General features: G+C 35.4%; 1 protein-coding gene across 10 annotated transcripts in view; it reads right to left on the bottom strand.

Moving 5' to 3' along the window:
* The window catches only part of SMAP1 (small ArfGAP 1), a 194133-nt gene that overhangs the window by 97237 nt on the left and 75311 nt on the right, over positions 1–21585 (bottom strand). For 9 of the 10 annotated variants that reach the window (NM_001044305.3, NM_001281439.2, NM_021940.5 and 6 more), the window contains one exon: positions 9714–9799. In NM_001044305.3, coding sequence (NP_001037770.1) covers positions 9714–9799 — 86 coding nt within the window. Of the gene's footprint in view, positions 1–9713; positions 9800–16574; positions 16695–21585 lie in introns of all 10 variants that reach the window. The other variant, XM_047419229.1, reaches the window with a different exon arrangement.

The following is a 21585-nucleotide window of genomic DNA, read 5'->3' as shown; positions in this document are numbered from 1 at the left end:
ATCCATGGGCTGCAGAACAGATGTTGTATTGACAGGCATGAAACAACATGTTTGTGTATCTCCATCAGAGCTCTTGGGTTACTAGGAGCATTGTCAATGAACAGTAATACTTTGAAAAAAATTATTTCTTTCTGAGCAGCAGGTCTCAACGGTGGACTTAATGTATTCAGTAAACCATGCTGTAAACAGATGTGCTGTCACCCAGGCTCTGTTGTTCCACTTAGAGAGCACAGGCAGAATAGATGTAGCTTAATTCTTAAGGGCCGTAGGATTTTCAAAATAGTAAATAAACATTAGCTTCAACTTAAAGTCACCAGCTGCATTTTCCTAACAAGAAAGTCAGCCTGTCTTGAAGCGCTGAAGCCAGGCATTGACTTCACTTCTCCAGTATGAACGTCCTCAATGGCATCTTCTTCCAACAGAAGGCTGTTTAGTCTCCACTGAAAATGTGTTGTTTAGTGTAGTCACCTTCATCAATTATCTTAGTTACATCTTCTGGATAACTTGCTCTTTCATCTTGATTTTTATGTTCTGCAGATGGCTTCTTTTCTTAAACTTCATGAACCAGGCTGGGAACAGTGGCTCATATGTGTAATTCTAGCACTTTGAGAGGGTAAGGCAGGAGGATTACTTAAGCCTGGGAGTTGAAGAACAGCCTGGGCAATATAGCAAGCCCATCTTTACAAAAAAAAAAAAAAATTAGCTGGGCATGGTAGTGTGCATGTGTAGTTCCAGCTACTCAGGAGGCTGAGGCAGAACGATCGCTTGAGCCCAGGACACAGAGGCTGCAGTGAGTTGACTGCCCCACTGCATTCCAGCCTGGGTGACACAGTGAGAACCTGTCAAAACAACAGACAAAACAAAAACACAAACTCATGACTCAACCTATGCTAGCTTCAAACTTTTCATCTGAGGCTTCCTCATCACTCTCAGCCTTCACAGAACTGAAGAGTTAAAGCTTTGTTAAGGATTAGGCTTTGGCTTAAGGAAATGTTGTGGCTGGTTTGAACTTCTATCCAAACCACTCCAACTTTCTCCATATCAGCAAAAAGGCTGTTTTGCTTTTTTATTATTCATGTGTTTACTAGAGTAGCACTTTTTAATTTCCTTCAAGAATTTTTCCTTTGCATTCACAACTTGACTATTTGGTGCAATAGACCTAGCTTTCAGCCTATTTTTCTTTCCACATGCCTTCCTCACTAGCTTAATCCTTTCTATTATAGCTTTTTGATTTAAAATGAGCAAGGTGAGACTCTTTCTTTTACTAGAACACTTAGAAGCTACTGTAGGTGTTAATGTTGTATCACAGAATACGGAGTGCAGAGGAAAAGAAAGGGAAAAGCTGATCAGTGTAGTCAGAATGCAAACTTTTATAAATTAATTAAAAACATGCATTTATGTTATAATTTTGTTATAACATTTGCCACCTTATACTGGTGCAGTTCCCAGTGCCCTGAAACAATTACAACAGTAGCATTAAAGATCACTGATGACAGATCACCATAAAGATATACTACTAATAAAAAAGTTTGAAATATTCCAAGAACTACCAAAGTGTGACATGGAGACCCAAAGTAAACATGTGTTGTTGGAAAATATGGCGCCAACAGACTTGCTTTGCATAGGGTTGCCACAACATTCAATTCGTAAAAAAAAAAAAAAAAAAAAAAAAGTAATATCTGTACAGTGCAAATAAAGCAACATGCAATAAAACAAGGTATTCCTATGTAGAATACTACGATGGTTTTACAAATACTGAGTTTGTGAAAGTTAACTATGTTAAGTATACAATCTTCTGGAGTTGAATACAATACTAACATCTGGTATTATTATCTGTATGTTGCTGTGAATTTTCCAAAATAACATGTATCTGTGAAATCTTAATTTATATTTAATGTATTTTATATAAATAATTCAAATGCAGTTGAGAGTCTCACTTCTGTTTACAATAAGAAATCCTTTCAGAACTTATCTCTAGGAAGTATACATTTTTTAAAAATTATAAGAAGCCAAAGTTGGTATGTTTGGTACATAGTGTTTTTCAAAGATATAAAAATAAAGCATTAGGGTAGAAGAACTTACTAGAACCTTCCTAATTATTAACATAAGATCACTTTTTATACTTTTTAAAAGGCAATCCAAGTACACTACAAAGTGAATTTTTAAATTCCATGGAGTCACCCAAGGAAGAAATCTAGTTTGGAAAACATGCTATATCTTTGGTTGCTCTCAGTTCCTATGTGCCTCCTACTGCAAGAATGTCTCACACAGTCCTTGTATATTTTTGTACAAGGTCCCAAATGCAAGCCAATTCTGTACTGTTAGTTCACCTAAAGAAACAGTTATTTATCCCAGGGGTTGGCAAACTTTTCCTTAAAGGCCCAGAAAGTAAATGTTTTAGGCTTTGTGGGACAGTTGGTCTATGTTTCAATCACTCAACTGTCCCTTCATAGCTCTCCAAAGCGACCACAGAACATTCATAAATGAATGTACATGGCTGGGTTCTAATAAAACCTTATTTACAAAAACAGGCAGCTAGCTCATGGGCCTGTAGTTACTGATTCCTGAATTCTATTCAGTACTAGAGGGCAAAGAACAGCCAAATGGATTATTAGGGGTACATGTGTCTGTAAACTGTCATCATAAACAATCTAAAGATTTTCGAAGGAAATTTTTACCATAGTTTTGCATTATATGTTGACATTCTCAAAGAAGATAGTCTCCAATGTACAGCCTCATTTCCAGTACAGGTAGGCACTTATTATTACACCGGCAGTTATTGTGACCTTTAGGTTAGCTGATCTATTGAACCTATACCTAGATATGTAAAAAAGATAGTAATACTCACCTCACAAGGTTGACAAGAGTTTGAAGATTAAGATATACATAAAGCACTTAGTATAGTATCTAACAGTAAGAATTTAACGTATGAATTTAGTTTTATTTTTATATACTTTGGTGCCTCGGTTTCATCACCTTTAAAATGGGGATAAAACCAGTATCATCTCATAGGATTATTATAAGAATTAAATAAGCCAATAGTATCTAAACAACTAAAATAGTAGATGGTACATAGTGTTATTTAAGTTTTAGCTCTTATTATTAACAAAGGTATTCTGATAGGCAAATCACTTAAAAGATAGGGTCCATGGTAGCAAGAGGAAACAGAATTACTGTACTGAGGGCTAAGATGGCTTGCATACCATCAAGTTTAAACAGATGAGTAAATGAGAAACGACAACAAAAGAACCAATGAATCTGGAGATCAGGAACTATTTATCTTCATTTTACAGTCTCCAGAAGTCATTTGAGATATAAGGACTTAGTTATACTGACATAGATCAATAATACAACCCAAAAAATTAGAAACAGAACAATAATATTTTCAGGGAGTCAGATAAGAAATACATTATTATAATAACAGTTCAAGTTTTAATTTGGGAATTACTTAGTAAACAATATCAAACTATCCCAGAATCTTCCCCATGCCTACAGTTATAAAGCACTCAGTACAGCACCCCTAATTCTCCCTGTCCCCAAAACTAACAATTGGTACTATACAAGCCTACAAAAATTTCAACATTATTATACGCTTTATCTTTTAACATGTATCTATATATTTTAAGATTTTTTTCTTTTCTTTAAAAATATACCATTTGAAAGACAACTAAATTAATATCTACTCCCAAAGAAGAAAATCTTCCAGTTTCAAACACACAGCACTGACAGCAGTAAAACTTTGAAAAGCTCAAAGGAGAACTGCTGATTAGCTTTGGTACACAATAGATCTCATGGAACTGAAGTAATTAAAGTTTTTTAGATAAGACAAAATATCCTAATAATGAAAAGCTTAATGTAAAGCTTTATCATTTGTCATGCACTAGGACATGCAGCCTATAATTAACCACATCCCACATTAGAAATTACACTTTCACAGCAGCTTTTGCATAACTTTTGTAAATTGCAAAGCTTTTTAAAAAGTGACAAATCTTGTTAAGAATGCAATGAGGTCCCATATTATATGAGTTTAACTTAGTTTGGTTATACTTGCTCTAGGGATGAGACAACTATATTTATATCTATAAAACTACAGAAATGTTAGGCTTTTCAAAGAGCAATGAGCTTTAGAAAGATGGATAGATGAAAGGAAAGACTGGAGGGAGGGAGAGAGAAAGGCAAGCCGGTTTTCTTACCAGCCTCTCCCTACAAAACCTCCAAATTACAGTGTTTCATAATTAAAAGAATAAAAAGTATTGTTATAATAACCAAGGTAATTTTTTTAAAGGCTACAGATTACATTAGATATGGGGACTAGTCTCATGGTCCAAGAATTGTCATCTTATACTCTTAACATAAGTAATCATCTAGCTCAAACATGTTAGACAAAGACCCTCTTTAAACAAGTCTGACAACCATATGAACAATAAAGATCAATACCTCACATAAATATGACCATAATTTGTAAAAAGGAGTAACATTTAGTTTGAAAAATTAAATAAGAATGACTGAGGTAACAACAGCAAATATATAGTTAATCCAAAAGCCTAACATAAATCATACCAGGTAATGAAAAGTTGAAATCTTCACCTAGATCTTACAATCTAGCTGCCAAGAGTGCCAAATTATAATAACCCTATTTTCAAAGGCAATCAAGACTTAAATGTGGCAGCACTGATTTTACTCAGACTACCATCATTAAATAATACTCAAGTGTCCCGATACAGGAGGGAAAGTCTGGAGGCTTTAGGAAGTTTCTTAATAGCTCTTTGAGCATCTCATCCTTCCCACCCCACTCCCCACAAAAGAAAATATTATGCTCTATGTCACCGAGTTATTTTGAGAAATAAAAAAGATAATGTACATAAAATGCCATGGTCAGGGCTTGGCATAGGGCAAACACTTATTAAGCAGTAAAGTTATTACAGCTGTTGTTTCCAGTATTATATCTTCACTGTGTCGAACGTCAAGGATTTACCAATATAGACACCAATCAATTCACTATAAAAATCTCATCTTTCCTGAAATCTATAGAAAAGGACCAAATATTTTAAAATATATCAGCCAAGATAACAGAACTAATAATGCAATATCTCATTAGCACTTTAGCTCTCTAAGGTGCATCATAAAATTGGTGGTAATGAAGAAACAGTATTCCTACCAACCTACACAAAATGGTGCATAGAATAGTTCAATAAGTGAGGATACCAAGAAGATATATACTGTCCTGCCCTCAATATCCTTCATGATAATTTGAAAACAATATGGAATCAGTGTAATAAATTAAATAACTTGGAAGCTACTCTCATGCATAGGTAACACATAAAGGATGAAACCAAAATTTTCAAAAACGTCAAGTAATTTACCCTGTTATATTCAAGGGACACCTAAAAAATCCAACCCAACCCAACCTCCCCACCCTGCCACAGACACAAACTTCCAGAAAAGGAGGATTCTTCAATTCGAGGGGTCATATATATCAACTCAGCCTAGTGAGTGGGGGGCAAAAAAAGAGGGAATAAATTAATGTAACCAGCAAGCAGCTGGTAACAACCACCTACAATGCTGATTTGTATGCTGGGCTGTTTTTCCTTCTACCATGCTTTATTCTTCAGGATTCAGCCACAGGCTTTCCTTTTCCAGAGAAGGAAAAGAATTCTCAGGATTCTCAATAAAATCTGCAAAATAAAGAACTGCTGCCCTAGGTAAACATAAGCTGACCCAGCACTTTATATCATCACCTACATGCTAAGCGACTCCTCAATCTGAATGTACTGCTCTCTTCTAGGGTCCAGACTCATGTTTCCAGCCACCAAATGGGGTAACTCCATGTATATGTGTAACAGAAGTATCAATCTGCCCAAAGTAAGAAAGCATGGCTCATTATCTTTCATTTCTAACTCTTAATCCTCCTGCTGGTAATGAATTCCTTCTCCCAGTGAATAAGCTTTATGGTCAACCAAGCTAGAAATTTCAGGGTTATTTTAGTGACTCCCTCAGAACCAAAGCCAATCTTAATGTAGCTTTCCCAACTTGTTTCCAATCTCTCCAATTTAATCCTGCCCATTCCCAATGCCACTATCTAACTTAGATTGTCATTGCTAATTTTGGGCTGTATAAGTATTTCACATGGTCTCTCTGCTTCTAGGCTCTCCTCCCACCTCCAACTATTCTTCCTTACAGTGGAAGTTAATGTTTCTAATGTTTCTCCTGCTTCAAAATCCTTCATGTGTTTTTATTTTTATTTATTTATTTATTTTTATTATACTTTAAGTTTTAGGGTACATGTGCACAATGTGCAGGTTAGTTACATATGTATACATGTGCCATGCTGGTGTGCTGCACCCACTAACTCGTCATCTAGCATTAGGTATATCTCCCAATGCTATCCCTCCCCCCTCCCCCCACCCCACCACAGTCCCCAGAGTGTGATATTCCCCTTCCTGTGTCCATGTGATCTCATTGTTCAGTTCCCACCTATAAGTGAGAATATGCAGTGTTTGGTTTTTTGTTCTTGCGATAGATTACTGAGAATGATGATTTCCAATTTCATCCATGTCCCTACAAAGGACATGAACGCATCATTTTTTATGGCTGCATAGTATTCCATGGTGTATATGTGCCACATTTTCTTAATCCAGTCTATCATTGTTGGACATTTGGGTTGGTTCCAAGTCTTTGCTATTGTGAATAATGCTGCAATAAACATACGTGTGCATGTGTCTTTATAGCAGCAAGATTTATAGTCCTTTGGGTATATACCCAGTAATGGGATGGCTGGGTCAAATGGTATTTCTAGTTCTAGATCCCTGAGGAATCGCCACACTGACTTCCACAATGGTTGAACTAGTTTACATTCCCACCAACAGTGTAAAAGTGTTCCTATTTCTCCACATCCTCTCCAGCACCTGTTGTTTCCTGACTTTTTAATGATTGCCATTCTAACTGGTGTGAGATGGTATCTCATTGTGGTTTTGATTTGCATTTCTCTAATCGCCAGTGATAATGAGCATTTTTTCATGTGTTTTTTGGCTGCATAGATGTCTTCTTTTGAGAAGTGTCTGTTCATGTCCTTCGCCCACTTTTTGATGGGGTTGTTTGTTTTTTTCTTGTAAATTTGTTTGAGTTCATTGTAGATTCTGGATATTAGCCCTCTGTCAGATGAGTAGGTTGCGAAAATTTTCTCCCATTTTGTAGGTTGCCTGTTCACTCTGATGGTAGTTTCTTTTGCTGTGCAGAAGCTCTTTAGTTTAATTAGATCCCATTTGTCAATTTTGGCTTTTGTTGCCATTGCTGTTGGTGTTTTGGACATGAAGTCCTTGCCCATGCCTATGTCCTGAATGGTGATGCCTAGGTTTTCTTCTAGGGTTTTTATTGTTTTAGGTCTAACGTTTAAGTCTTTAATCCATCTTGAATTGATTTTTGTATAAGGTGTAAGGAAGGGATCCAGTTTCAGCTTTCTACATATGGCTAGCCAGTTTTCCCAGCACCATTTATTAAATAGGGAATCCTTTCCCCATTGCTTGTTTTTCTCAGGTTTGTCAAAGATCAGATAGTTGTAGATATGCGGCGTTATTTCTGAGGGCTCTGTTCTGTTCCATTGATCTATATCTCTGTTTTGGTACCAGTACCATGCTGTTTTGGTTACTGTAGCCTTGTAGTATATTTTGAAGTCAGGTAGTGTGATGCCTCCAGCTTTGTTCTTTTGGCTTAGGATTGCCTTGGCAATGCCGGCTCTTTTTTGGTTCCATATGAACTTTAAAGTAGTTTTTTCCAATTCTGTGAAGAAAGTCATTGGTAGCTTGATGGGGATGGCATTGAATCTGTAAATCACCTTGGGCAGTATGGCCATTTTCACGATATTGATTCTTCCTACCCATGAGCATGGAATGTTCTTCCATTTGTTTGTATCCTCTTTTATTTCCTTGAGCAGTGGTTTGTAGTTCTCCTTGAAGAGTTCCTTCACATCCCTTGTAAGTTGGATTCCTAGGTATTTTATCCTCTTTGAAGCAACTGTGAATGGGAGTTCACTCATGATTTGGCTCTCTGTTTGTCTGTTATTGGTGTATAAGAATGCTTGTGATTTTTGTACATTGACAAAATCCTTCATGTGTTTTTAAACACTTGGGCCAATGAAATGAGGTCTAAACTACTCTACATCATACTGAAAACCCTTCGCAATTTGGACCAAAATACCTTCCAAGCTTCTTCTGACCTAAAAGGTCATGTTCTCTCATACCTCCATACTTTTACTCACACAATTTTTTATACCTGAAATGAACCTTCTACCATTAACCCTGCAAACTTTCTATAACAAATACAGCTTCGGATATCAGACTGCTAAATTTGTGAGAAAGGAGTGGGGCGAACAGAAACAGAAAACGCCAAATACAAATTACTAACTTCTCAATTATAATTTAAAAGGTTTCTGTCCAAATGTGGAAATAAACATATAATGACCTATATCTCTGTGTGAGAAAAGATATTTCCTCCACTGGCCACACAAATTGTTTTACTATACAAATGGGTACAATATAATTGATCGTTAATAAACTACATTTTATTGTCAAAGTCACAAATGTTACCTTCAAACAGAATCCACGTACCTACAATTAATCAGATAATCTTATTTATAAAGCAGCACAATTTTGATGAGCTGCTTTTTTAAACTATGAGTTATAAAAATCCTACAGAATTATGATTTTATATTTAGAAAACATAAAAAACATATTAAAATGTTTTCATGGGAAACTATTCTATCCACTCATAAAGGTGGATTATGTGGGAAACAATTCTATCCACTCATAAAGGTGGATTCATAAAGCAAACATAGTTGTGCAACCTACAACAGAGTGTCAGTAGTGTAAATTACTCAGAATTTACGCTATGTAAAAAATACTATGTAATTTGCCTTCTAAATGCCACAATGCCTCACATAAATATAACTACTATATAAAGGTAATCAAAGAATATATGGAAATGATTTCTAACATACTCAGGATGCTTACAAATCAAGTTTCTAGTAACAGTCTAAAATAATAAACAGCATATACTTTCCAATTGAGAGATGGAGAACAATCAAGAAGAATCAGTCATAACATTTTACACTTAGTAACAGAGATGCCCCTCAACTTACAATGGGTTAGGCCCCAGTAAACCCATCCTAAGTTGAAAATATTTTAAGTCAAAAATGCATTTAATACACCTAATCTACCAAACATAGCCTAGCCTAGCCTACATTAAATGTGCTCAGAACACTAACATTAGCCTACGGTTGAGCAAAATCTTCTAACACAAAGCATATTTTTAATAAAGTATTGAATATCTCATGTAATTTACTGAATACTGTACTGAATGTGAAAACAGAATGGTTACACTAGTACTCAAAGTACAGTTTCTACCAAACGCATACTGCTTTCTCACCATCATGAAGTGGAAAAATCGTAAGTCAAATAATCATTGTGAATCAGGGGTCTGTAATCACATCTAAATACCATATGTATCGTGTATTTTTATGTAATTATGTAATCTGTGTGCCAAATTCCTACTAAAAACCTACCATATACAAAGCACAGCTCACAGCAAGTCAATTTCTATCTTTAATGAACAGTAGCGTGATAAAGTTCACATCTTCCTAAATACTAACAGATAAAATATGAACTGTAAAAATGAGTTAATGTTTTTTAAACTCAAAACAAATAAGTTTTAAAGGATACTGATCTGTCTGTGGTCTTCGAAAGTTCTCTGGAAGATTGGCTTCATAGAGTAGTCTTGCTTTAGTATTTCCCATATCTTGCATGCACTATAATAAAAAAAATTTTTTAATTACTCACATAAACATTAAAAAGTGATTCCTGCACATACATACACATACATACATATACACAAATACCAAATAATTTATTATTTCCAATATATATTCTCCTTAGAAATATAATTTAAATCACAACTACGAAATTAATCACTCAAGTTAAAACAGAAGCATATTTTTAATCCTTCACATTTATCAACGTATGTTGATCCATAGTCCATAATCTAAATGTCTTTTTTTGTGAAAACAGTACCACCTTTACACTTACTACTTCCTAACAGTGAATTCCCTCATAGTTTGTAGGCAGTACTGCCATTTTTTCTAGTGCACCACTTGAACAATGCTCCCGTTTCCAGGGCTGACAAGTTTTCTTTCTTTTGAGCTTTGAAATACCCTGGGATTCTACTGATTTACAATCAAGATCACAATGAAGGCCAGATAAGAGAGAAACAGTGCTGACCTAAAACTCTGTAAAAATGTATTAATTTCTTTTGAGTTATTAATAATAATCCCTTTGAGGAGTTTCCCTACAAAACCCTAATAAATTGTGCCTAATGCCCAAACTTTACATATAAGTTCAGTTCATAGAAACTCCTCCCTAAAAATCTGTGAATTCCAATGGTAAGAACAATTGCTCAGTAAGAATAAAACAATTTGATAATCATTTCAACCAGTTTAATTAGGTTTCAGTGTCATCTATGAGGAATGACTATGCAAACAGTACTTCCTTAATATTCTATTATATTAGAAACTAAATGTAAGATTTAAGAACATTACAATATTATATGACATCATTTACACAGAACTTCAGTTCCTTAAAATGTTTTAACTGGTAGAGAGATCAGTTTTCATAATATTTCTTTTTCTTCCTGTTTCCCAGACACACACCCCTATGTCCTTGAGATGACAATCCAGATTTAACAGGTTACCTGACATCTGCGTTGAGTTGTAGCCCTCAAGTATACACAGAACTATCTTTCTTCAAACAAAAAATATAGTGACTCTTCTCCCAACTGAGAGTTTTAAAGTGCACTAAATTCCAATATACAATCACCTCTAGGTATCTATTCTTCCTCACCTCAATGTAAGTATTCTCTCAGAGTAAACTACATTTCTAAGTCTTCCCTCTAGAGATAATGAGAAAGTGAAGTAATGGGCGGGGGGCGGAGGGCAGTGAGAAAAATGGATTAAAGGGGCGGGCTTTACCATTAAGCTCCAAGATGACATAGAAGGCAAAATAAATCTGAGCTTCAAAATTGTGTAAAATAAAAAAATTATAAAAGGTAAACAGTATAAAGTCAGAGGGCTCTATGACATCACAGTGGCTACTAGCATGAAGTTAGCATAAGAAGAGTTAATACGTAATTCTGTGTGTGGGGAGAGGAGCTGAGAAAATTTCAGTATAGCTCACCCTTCCTGAAAATCGAAAAAATGTTTTCCATCTCAAGCATTCAAATGATGCTGCATCTTTGTGCCGTGATGGGAATTTGTAAACAGAAGATGATCAAGTTATGTAATCATAAAGACATTAAACATTTGGAAAGAACTAGACCAAGTAAAAATGCCTTAGTCTGCAATGAAGCAAAAAGTAATTCAGATACAGTTCACTGAAAGTGCAAAAGTAAGAAAATTTGAAAAGTTTCTATCAAGCAAGAATATATAGAAATTTTAACAGAAAAGTTAAGATTAAAAATGCTATACTATATCTCATCAATCCTCGTTTACATTTTTTCATATTTTAACGTCTTTGAAATAGGAATACATCTCACAATTGATGGTGTCTAATAATTGGTATTTTTTTTCTTATTGGTCCGTAAAGTGGATGTGCTTCTTAAAATCAGCAGTATCTTATATTCAATGACTATGACTGTACATATCTATTTAATGTAGCTCATTAATATCTCGGGGGGGAAATAAAAAATAATTAGGAACAAGGCAGATATGTACATTATACCAAACTATTAAACACTGTTCTAGTGATGTTATCACAAATAGTAACATTAAAATCTGAAAGGTAGAGGTGATGTGGAATAATGAGTCATTTCTATAGGAGACCACTGCCAAAAAGTGACTGCGTAAAAGTGCATGGATGTGTTTGTTAGTTGGGATTTGGGGAAATAAGAATTCAATGACATCACAGATGTAGAGAGATCATTTTGTGACTATAAAAAATATATTGGTAAGCTTAGTTTCTAGGTTTCTAAAAAGTAGACTAGAAAAGGGTGGGAGGTAGGGGAGCAGTGAAAGAACCAGTGAAAATGAAAGATTGGGCAATTTGGAAATGAGAGGGCAGGGGAAAAAAACAACAGGAGCTGATGTTTTGGGGAGGCGATAAAGAATATGGGGCAAACTAGCTGTCCTCAAGGACTCAAGGCCCTGAAGAGTAAACTCTGCCCAGTAAGTAGCAGGAAAAAAATAATAAAAATAGCATAATAGCTACAGTGACACAAGCATTAGCCTCAACACTTTACCTATATTTGCAATTTTAAATTTCAAAACAACCATGAGACAGGCATTATTATCCTAATTTTACAGGAAAAGAAACAGAATCTGTAAAGATGTTAAGTAACAGGCCTAAGATTCTATCAGTCTCCATAATTCAACTTGCAATAGAACCAACATCACCCATCAATGATTTTGATATTTCAGGCTTCATCCAGTGGAACTGGGACTATGTCCTGCAGGGCTTACTAACAGCAGGCTCTTAGTTTTAGAGGCCTGGTTTTCACTTTACAGAGAGGAAACTGAGGCACAAAGAGGTTGTATGATTTTTCTACTGGTTAATATAATGCATTAGTGACACGGCTGACACTAAGATTCAGTTCCTTCACTCCCAATCCATATCACCATGCAGCAGCTAGTCAAAATAAGTATCTAGAAAATTTTACGACAAGACAGAAGATGCTATAAGTGTTACCTCTATTATTAAAACATCATTCCTGTTGTTAAAACATTATTCCTTTTCTTTTAGGTTCTCTCACCAAAAATGCTTCTGCTTATTCTTTGGCAATTAATTATTCAGTTTTCCAAAGCTACGTCAAGCAGACTGGTTGCAAAAAAACAGGGGGTGTGGAGGGGATAAGTGACATGTACTTTTGTCTAAAAGAAAAACTAAGTTCTATTTTTTAAATTATTGGTAATAAACTAGCTATCTGAACCTCTACCATCTAGTTCCTATGAATCAAGACGGACCCTAAGTACTATTTTAATACTTAGTACTTAGCATCATTTTGAAACACTTAAATTTTCTAAACTTGCTTTCACTTCTACAGGAGGGATAATTGTGAGGCTATCAAATAAATCACTAAAAATTCAAAGATCTTAGTAATTTTGAAAATTCTTTGGCTTTAGAGAAGTCACATCATTCCCTGTCAGTATTTTTTTTTCTCTTTATCTCACACTTCAAGTATGAAAAAAGAAAGGGGAGGACTCTGAACTACTTAAGTTAAAGTTTCTATTAAATTTATTTTTTAAATATTTTTAAGTAGACATTTATTTACTCATTAAACTATACTTCATCTCAAAATGAAGATTTAAAAAACAAGTCAAGCAAGTGAGGAGAAAATGTATTGATATTCTTGACAAAGTAAGAAATGATTGTAAGAATCTATTGAATACAAACTCAACATTCATGTTTACTTTAAGAAAAATATATTAACATATTGAGGAATAAGTGAACATGTACTTCTGCCAGTAGACTGAACGTATTTTTATTTTTATTTATTTTTTGTAAGACGGAGTCTCACTCTGTCACCCAGGCTTGAGTGCAGTGGCACAATCTTGGCTCACTGCAACCTCCATCTCCCAGGTTCAAGTGATTCTCCTGCCTCAGCCTCCCAAGTAGCTGCGAGTACAGATGCGTGCCACCATGCCCAGCTAAGTTTTATATTCTTAGTAGAGACGAGGTTTCACCATGTTGGCCGGGCTGGTCTCAAACTCCTGACCTCAGATGATCTGCCCGCCTGGGCCTCCCAAAGTGCTGGGATTACAGGTATGAGCCACCGCACCCTGCCAATTGAACATATTTTTAAACTACTGTTATTGACTTTTCCCATTAAATTCAGCCTGTTCTCATTTAACGTATGTTCCCAGAAAGATGAATTTTGTACTGCACTTTTTTAGTTGACTCATCTTCATCCAAACTTACCACCCTTATAATTACAAAGGCAGGCTTCACCTGGAAATGGTGTAATAAACCATTGAAGAATCCTAAACCTTACTATTAAAAGTATTTTGCCCTCATCAATCCATAATCGATGTGTTTTTAGTTTCCCCACATAATCTAGTACATACAACATCACCAGCCCAAAGCATCACATCACTTGGAAGTCAATATTTTAAAATACTTTTTGAATTGCTGAAATTCATCTACTGCCCAACATACTGTCACTGCAATCTAATGTATATGAAACATTTCTATTTGTGAAACTTCCTAAGTACAAAACATTTTACCCAATCACAGTTTTAGCATTAAAACAGCAAAACCCCTATTCTAAAACAATTTTAAGTCATTTATATTTTACAGAGACTGAAGAGAATTGGGGCTGTCAATTTAAAATTTTAAATGACATTTGCTTATCACATTTGTCTAATTTAAGAAACTAAAACATACAAAAAATAACACGTATAACTAAACATGGGAATAGATAAAAAGAAAGTAGGTAGAATCAATGAGTAAGCAAGCAAATGTAATAGGAGATTTCATTCATTTTTAACAGTACTGTAAATATTTTTTTAAAAAATCACTGTTTTATGTCAACAGGGCATCTCCAGTGACAAATGGCAATTAAGCAGCACATAACAGCTTTACTGAAAACAGAACCTTGAAATAAATATGTGAAGATAAAGAGTAGGAACAGATAAAACAAAGTGTGCCCAAGTTTACGTCACTGTCAGGATCAGGAAACAATAATTAAATATAATAAGAGGCAAAATAAATGACATACCACCTGAAATTCCAAATTAATAATGCATTCCCCTGAAAAGAAGACTTGTCAAATATTTTGTTTTAATCTTCCAAAATCTTGGAAACCAGAGGTCTCTAAGTGAATAATCTACTTCAAGGTATGGCTTCTACTTGTCCTAGGCCAACTAAAGCCAAATACAGTCCATTCCATGCTCAGTGGCTAAGCCTCATAAATGTGGCTTCTTGGACTTTCCTTCTTTATACATCTCCCTTTTTCTCAGTATCTTCTTCTTACCCCTGTACTTTGTCCCTCAGATGCTAAGAAGTACCTGAACAACAGCCATTAATAGTAAAACTAAAATTCATTCTAACGTATTGTTTCAGGAAGCTATCTGCATAGTTTTCACAAATTTGTATATGTGTACTGACTTGTCCTTTGAGGTTTACTGGTTGTTGTTTTTTTTTTAAATGAGGTAAGTGGGGGAAAAATAGAGAAGCAGATATTGCAAATGATTAGGTTACAATTAAGTTGCAATTACATCTTCTAAATTCCCAATGGCAAAACTGCAAAATGTTAAAATAGTCAAATCTTAAATATCAATGTTTAACAGAAGGATGCCACATGCCTATGTTTTAATCTGGAGGAAGAAAATTAATCTAATAACTATTTAAAATAGTTTTCTACCCAATTGATATGGTTTGGCTTCGTGTCCCCACCCAGATCTCATCTCGTAATACCCACACGTCAGGTGTTGGGAAGGGACTTGGTGGGAGGTGATTGAATCATGGGGATCTGTTCCCCCATGCTGTTCTCACGATAGTGAGGGAGTTCTCATGAGATCTGATGGTTTTAAAAATGGCAGTTTCCCCTGCACGCTTCTCTCTCTCCTGCTGCCATATAAGATGTGCCTTGCTTTCCCCTCGCCTTCCGCCATAATTATAAGTTTCCTGGGGCCTCCCAGCCATGAGGAACCGAGTCAATTAAACCTCCTTTCCTTATAAATTACCCAGTCTCAGGTGGTATTTTTATAGCAGTGTGAGAACACACTAATATGCCAATTTTCTTCTACTCCATTTTCTGAGGAACTGATTGAGAGAAAGAAGAGTCCTACCTATGGGTCAAAAGATTTTTGTAAGGATATAAAAATGTATGCCAACTATAAGTCTGTGTATATATATATATATGCATAAAATATGTGAGGAAAAATATACAAAAAACTGATAAATATGGTTACTTCTATGGAGGGCAACTGAATGACAGAGACAGAAGTGGGAGGGAGAATATTCACTGCACTTTTGTCCCCTTTAAAGTTTGTACCATGTCCACATATTTTCTATTCCCAACAACTAAATAAAATAATTAGAAGGGGCTATAGTAATCCTGCATTGTTTCTAAGTAAAATACTATCTAGAGGGAGCTTCAGTAGGGTATCCAAGCAGCACTTGAATCAGAAAAAGGAGACTTCCTCCTTTACTAAGGAGAAAAAAGTCTTCTCATAAATCAAAAAGATCATGAATATATATTTTAAAAAATCTCATCCAAGCAGATCTTACACTCAAAATACATTCAAAGCATAAATATGGCATTTATTTACCATGCATTTTTCCAGTATCATCATCTTATAGAAACATCATTGTTGCTGATGATTAAAACTTTCTTAAATTTTTAATGTATTTGTGTGGGAGGGGGGAAACTACTTGCTCTATTATTTTCTATTCATTAAAAGCTTTAAAACACAAAGACTAGGATTTTCAACTGAAAATCTTATTTCCAGCTAAATATACATATTTTTAAAAACTTTTATAAAGAAAAATGAATATTTTTAGTCCCTGGATAAATTCTTCATGGCAGTAACTCACCTCTACTACCACTTGAAATTTTCGAGAAATTTCTCTATCTTCCTCTCAAAATTCACCAGGATTTCTTGCATAGGAGCAAGCCTTTCAGGACTGGTTTCAAGATCTTTTGGATTCCAGCTGCTGGAAAAGAAGGGCCACCGTTTTTGGTCTCAGGAACTCTTTGGAAATATTTAATACAGAGTCCATTCCTTCAGTTTCATAAACTTGTTTTTTAGGGGAAGCTGTTCTCTGTTTTAATTATTTTTTTAAAGAATAAACCACACAATTCAAATTTTTTAATGATGATGTGGAATTAGAGGTAGCAGTTTTCATACTTTTCACAATTTCTAGATATTCTCAGATATTGATTTATCTGTTGCAGCATTTGCTAATTACTACAAACGGAGAGAATGTATTCTTTTTTGTAAGCAATGCAATTAAACATTGTTATGACAAAATTGGAAAAGCTTCACATTACACTCTTCTGTCATCTCTACTTACTATAATATCCATACCACTTAAAGTCCAGGAATAAACCATCACTTTCACTCTAGGTGCTTAAGGCCCAGCTCAGGAATCATCCTGGACTCTCCCCTCTTCTGCCAAAAGTCTTGGTTATTCTGACTCCTCAATATATTCTTTGTAGGCATCTCCTGTTTATCAAGTCCACTGCCATTACATTAATTCAGGATCTAGTCATCTATTGCCTAGGCTATTGCAGGAATATTTTAAGAGCTCCCTACTCTCTCCCTACTATCACTCATAAGATCAGCACCAAACCAGTCACTGGCTGTAACCTTCACCTTTACCTCCTCTGACACATATAACTGCACCTAGCACTCTGGTCACAGAACACTACTTTCTCAAACACGACATGCTTTCTTCCACCTTTCTACCTGAAAGGCCCTCAGCACATTGTGGTATGCGTTCAGTGATTGGTAAACAAATAAAGGTTACTATACAAATAATAGTGATACATTTAAAAAATATTAAAACTTACCATATGACCAGATAATACAATATTTTTTAAAAGCCACTTTCTTCAAGTACTGAAGATCACCCACCATTTAGTTAATAGAGCCAGAAGCAGAACCCAGTTCTACAGTCCCAGGCCAGTATTTTAACTATGAATGCTATCTTCTACCATTATATTCACACAAAGCAGGAAAGTGAATACACCTCTAAAATATTATGTGCAATAAAATTAATAATTATGTTTCTAGATGACTGATACATACATGTATTCTTTCAACACCACCTAACAACTTCCTGTACTCTATAGGGGGACTTAAGCCCCTATCTCCAAATAACTTATTATTTATTCTCTCTCAGTTCTACCTAAATTAGGCAGTTTAGAATTTAGACTTAAATCAGCCTCTGAAATTGAGGCAATAATTAATAGCCTATCAACCAAAAAAAATCCAGGACCAGATGGATTCACAGCTAAATTCTACCAGAGGTACAAAGAGGAGCTGGTACCATTCCTTCTGAAACTATTCCAATCAATAGAAAAAGAAGGAATCGCCCCTAACTCATTTTACCAGGCCAACATCATCCTGATACTAAAGTCTGGCAGAGACACAACAAAAAAAGAGAATTTTAGACCAATATCCCTGATGAACATCGATGCAAAAATCCTCAATAAGATACTGGAAAACCGAATCCGGCAGCACATCAAAAAGCTTATCCACCAGGATACAGTCAGCTTCAACCCTGGGATGCAAGGCTGGTTCAACATAAGCAAATCAATAAACGTAATCCATCACACAAACAGAACCAATGACAAAAACCACATGATTATCTCAACAGATGCAGAAAAGGCCTTTGACAAAATTCAACAGCCTTCATGCTAAAAACTCTCAATAAACTAGGTATTGATGGAATGTATCTCAAAATAATAAGAGCTATTTATGACAAACCCACAGCCAATATCATACTGAATGGGCAAAACCTAGAAGCATTCCCTGTGAAAACTGGCACAAGACAAGGATGCCCTCTCTCACCACTCCTATTCAACATAGTGTTGGAAGTTCTGGCCAGGGCAATCAGGCAAGAGAAAGAAATAAAGGGTATTCAATTAGGAAAAAAGGAAGTCAAACTGTCCCCATTTGCAGATGACATGATTGTATATTTAGAAAACCCCATCGTCTCAGCCCAAAATCTCCTTAAGATGATAAGCAACTTCAGCAAAGTCTCAGGATACAAAATCATGTGCAAAAATCACAAGCATTCTTATACACCAATAATAGACAAACAGAGAGCCAAATCATGAGTGAACTCCCATTCACAATGCTACAAAGAGAATAAAATACCTGGGAATCCAACTTACAAGGGATGTGAAGGACCTCTTCATGGAGACCTACAAACCACTGCTCAACGAAATAAAAGAGGACATAAACAAATGGAAGAACATTCCATGCTCATGGATAGGAAGAATCAGTATCGTGAAAATGGCCATACTGCCCAAGGTAATTTATAGATTCAGTGCCATCCCCATCAAGCTACCAATGACTTTCTTCACAGAATTGGAAAAAACTACTTTAAAGTTCATATGGAACCAAAAAAGAGCCCACATTGCCAAGACAATCCTAAGCAAAAAGAACAAAGCTGGAGGCATCACACTACCTGACTTCAAACTATACTACAAGGCTACAGTAACCAAAACAGCATGGTACTGGTACCAAAACAGAGAGATAGACCAATGGAACAGAACAGAAGCCTCAGAAATAACACCACACATCTACAACCATCTGATATTTGATAAACCTGACAAAAACAAGAAATGGGGAAAGGATTCCCTATTTAATAAATGGTGCTGGGAAAACTGGCTAGCCATATGTAGAAAGCTGAAACTGGATCCCTTCCTTATACCTTATACAAAAATTAATTCAAGATGGATTAAAGACTTACATGTTAGACCTAAAACCATAAAAACCCTATAAGAAAACGTAGGCAATACCATTCAAGACATAGGCATGGGCAAGGACTTCATGACTAAAACACCAAAAGCAATGGCAACAAAAGCCAAAATTGATAAATGGGATCTAATTAAACTAAAGAGCTTCTGCACAGCAAAAGAAACTACCATCAGAGTGAACAGGCAACCTACAGAACGGGAGAAAATTTCTGCAATCTACCCATCTGACAAAGGGCTAATATCCAGAATCTACAAAGAACTCAAACAAATTTACAAGGAAAAAACAAACAACCCCATCAAAAAGTGGACAAAGGATATGAACAGACACTTTTCAAAAGAAGATATTTATGCAGCCAACAGACACATGAAAAAATGCTCATTATCACTGGTCATCAGACAAATGCAAATCAAAACCACAATGAGATACCATCTCACACCAGTTAGAATGGCAATCATTAAAAAGTCAGGAAACAACAGGTGCTGGAGAGGATGTGGAGAAACAGAAACACTTTTACACTGTTGGTGGGACTGTAAATTAGTTCAACCATTGTGGAAGACAGTGTGGCAATTCCCCAAGGATCTAGAACTAGAAATGCCATTTGACCCAGCCATCCCATTACTGGGTATATACCCAAAGGATTATAAATCATGCTACTATAAAGACACATGCACACATATGTTTACTGCAGCACTATTCACAATAACAAAGACTTGGAACCAACCCAAATGTCCATCAATGATAGACTGGATTAAGAAAACATGGCATATGTACACCATGGAATACTATGCAGCCATAAAAATGGATGAGTTCATGTCCTTTGTAGGTCATGGATGAAGCTGGACACCATCATTCTCAGCAAACTATCACAAGGATACAAAACCAAACACCATATGTTCTCACTCATAGGTGGGAATTGAACAATGAGATCACCTGGACACAGTGTGGGGAACATCACACACCGGGGCCTATCGGGGGTGTGGGGCTGGGGGAGGGTTAGCATTAGGAGAAATACCTAATGTAAATTACGAGTTGATGGGTTGCAGCAAACCAACGTGGCACATGTATACCTGTGTAACAAACCTGCATGTTGTGCACATGTACCCTAGAACTTGAAGTATAACAAAAAAAAAAAAAGAATTAGGAGTTAAATGAAAATCCTCCACTAAGTAACATCTTAACAATTTTGTTCACTCCTTTGACATAGTGATAATCACCTACATGTAACAGAAAATTCTAAAATATGCCATTTCCAAAAAAACTATTAGTATTACTGACCTTATTTAAAGTTTAACCTTAAAAATTTTTAACAAATCAAGAGGAAAAAGAAAATATAGGGCATAATCTTGCACATTCAAATTAAAAATTTATATACTTTTTTCCAAATGGATTGCTTAAAATGCAAATCTCTTATTAAACTTCACAGATTAAATTTTGTTATAGACAGTACCACTTTCTTTCTTTACCTCAATCTTCACATGCAGGCAATACAATAACCCAATGCTATAGGCTGCTCCCATTCTCTGCTCTTCTTTGAAGATGCATTTAATGATTCTAGCAAGGGTTCAGCATCAACTGAATCTCAATTAACTTAAAAAGTTAAGCATATACCTGAGGCCCTAATTTGAGAAATGTTGTTAGCTTGATCAAATTATAATGAGAAATCCTTCCACAAAATAAGAAAAAAGGCTTTTTGGCCTATGGTTTTCTTGAATAAATGTATACCAAGAATTGTTTACTGAAAGCTTATTACGTGCCTGGTTCTACAAGACACTATGAAAATTTATCCAAGGGCCAAACCCCTAAGAGATTAAATAATATTCTAACACAGAGTTCTCCAAATTACCTTTAACTAAAATTTTATTCTATGAAATGTTGCTTATCATAAAAATTCTTTAACAGCAGAAATAATTTTCTAAGTTCCCAGAATCTCCCCAGAAAAGAGAAAACAGAAAGGCATAGGTAGAAAAACTAAAAACCAATAGATGATAGTTACAACAAAACTAACTAACTGATTATCCCCACAAACTTCAAAATGCCATCAGGTAGAAACAAACCACTACAATGACCACTAGACCTGCCAGAAACAAACCACTACAATGACCACTAGACCTGCC

This window comes from Homo sapiens, chromosome 6 (genome assembly GCF_000001405.40).
Source record: "Homo sapiens chromosome 6, GRCh38.p14 Primary Assembly".
Classification (NCBI taxonomy): domain Eukaryota; kingdom Metazoa; phylum Chordata; class Mammalia; order Primates; family Hominidae; genus Homo; species Homo sapiens.
Note: the sequence above shows the minus strand (reverse complement) of the source record. Positions and strands in the feature narration are given on the sequence as shown.